General features: G+C 38.9%; 1 pseudogene; it reads left to right on the top strand.

Annotated features, from left to right (window-relative positions):
• Positions 1-1,240: 1,240 nt before the first annotated feature.
• LOC107984481 (ubiquitin-like protein 5) lies at positions 1,241-1,453 on the top strand (annotated as a pseudogene).
• Positions 1,454-1,656: the final 203 nt, after the last annotated feature.

Here is a 1,656-nt window from a genome sequence, read left to right as displayed (position 1 = left end):
GGTCATCTTTTTTATCTTTAGAGATTTTTCTCCTCAAATTATATTGTGAGTTTGTAGCTCTGCTATGTCTGCAAACAGTTGTCTTGTATGTATATATGAAAACCGTAAAACTTTATGGAGATAATTTTAAGTCAAATATACAAATATAAGAACAGCTTGCATTTTTTTCCACTGTCTTCACTTAAACCTATGATTGCCCTTCGCCTGCTTTCAGCACTTAAGCAAGGCTCTAAATTTGATAGATCTCACCCTTGACATAAGGATCATCTCCCCATTTACCTCCAGTTTTTGCCTGAGACACTTCCTGAATATCAGCTTCCAAGCCAGGACCTTGACTCTTGGGTGCCGCCTCATCTCTCTCCTGACCAGGCATAACATCCTTACTTTCAGTCAGTGGCTCCTCTTTTTGAGGCTGTTCATCACTGGGCTGCTGGACAACCACAGGCCCAACTGGCTTAGAAGTTTCTTGTACATTTTGTCTTCCTCTAGCCTAAATGTTAATCTTCTTCCCCCACTCATATTTCACACAGCTGTTTCAGCGAGAAAGAATGAAGATGGAAGGGACACAAGAGCCTGTAGCACTTGCTTTATATTTTTTATGACTTTTACTTTTCTTGGGAGGGCTTCTGTGATACCAATTTTTGACCAGAAATGGAAATCGTTAGCTACTCTTGTAAAAGTATTGATTATTGAAATGTCAATAACTTTTACTTCCCTTTCAAAATTTATCTCACAAAGATCAGTGCTAGTGATGTTGATTCCTTTCTGCATTGCACAGCTTCTTTACTGACCTGCCGGCTTCAATCCACTGTTTTTAGATCCATGTAAATAGCATCTCAAAAAATCCAATCCGATAGTTAAAAAAGATTATTTAATTTCTCCAATTAATAACAGCTCACACATCAATTAATAATAACAGCTCATATGTCCTCCATGTTTCCACATTTTTGTTGTACTTTATTATTATCATTATTGAGACGGAGTCTCGCTCTGTCACCCAGGCTAAAATGTGCAGTGGTGCGATCTCGGCTCACTGCCACCTCTGCCTCCCGGGTTCAAGCAATTTTCCTGCCTTAGCCTCCAGAGTTGCTGGGATTACAGGCACACGCCACCGCGTGCAGCTAATTTTTGTATTTTTAGTAGAGACTGGGTTTCGCCATGTTGGGCAGGCTGGTGTTGCACTTTAAACAATTCTGGAGGTTGTGTTCTTCGGTTTCAGGTGACTTGAGCTCTCTCCAGGATGACTGAGGTTGTCTGCAGTGACAGCTTTCAAAGAAGGTCCGTAGAAAATCACTCATGACACTATCAGCAACCTTAAGCAGCTGTCAGTGGCCCAAACTGGGACACATTAACAGATTGTTCTGAAGTAATGGTACATGATTTTTATGGATGATGTGTCTCTCTGGATGACTACTAAATCCATGATGGGATGAACCTGGAGCTTTATTATTAATTGAACAGAATTCCTTCCTCATGTCTTGTCCTCCCATCCTCTCTTCACCTTCCCATACTGGTATGGATGCTTGTCTTTTAAAACTTTAAATTTTAATTTTAAAACATTATTTTAAAAGTAATACAAACTTAAGTGCTGAAAAAAATTACTATTTTTTTCAAATGAAACTTGTTTACTCAATATACCATTGAAAAGTACATTAA

Source organism: Homo sapiens, chromosome 12, assembly GCF_000001405.40.
Source record: "Homo sapiens chromosome 12, GRCh38.p14 Primary Assembly".
Classification (NCBI taxonomy): Eukaryota; Metazoa; Chordata; class Mammalia; order Primates; family Hominidae; genus Homo; species Homo sapiens.
The sequence above is the reverse complement of the archived record's forward strand: the minus strand, read 5'-3'. Positions and strand labels throughout refer to the sequence as shown.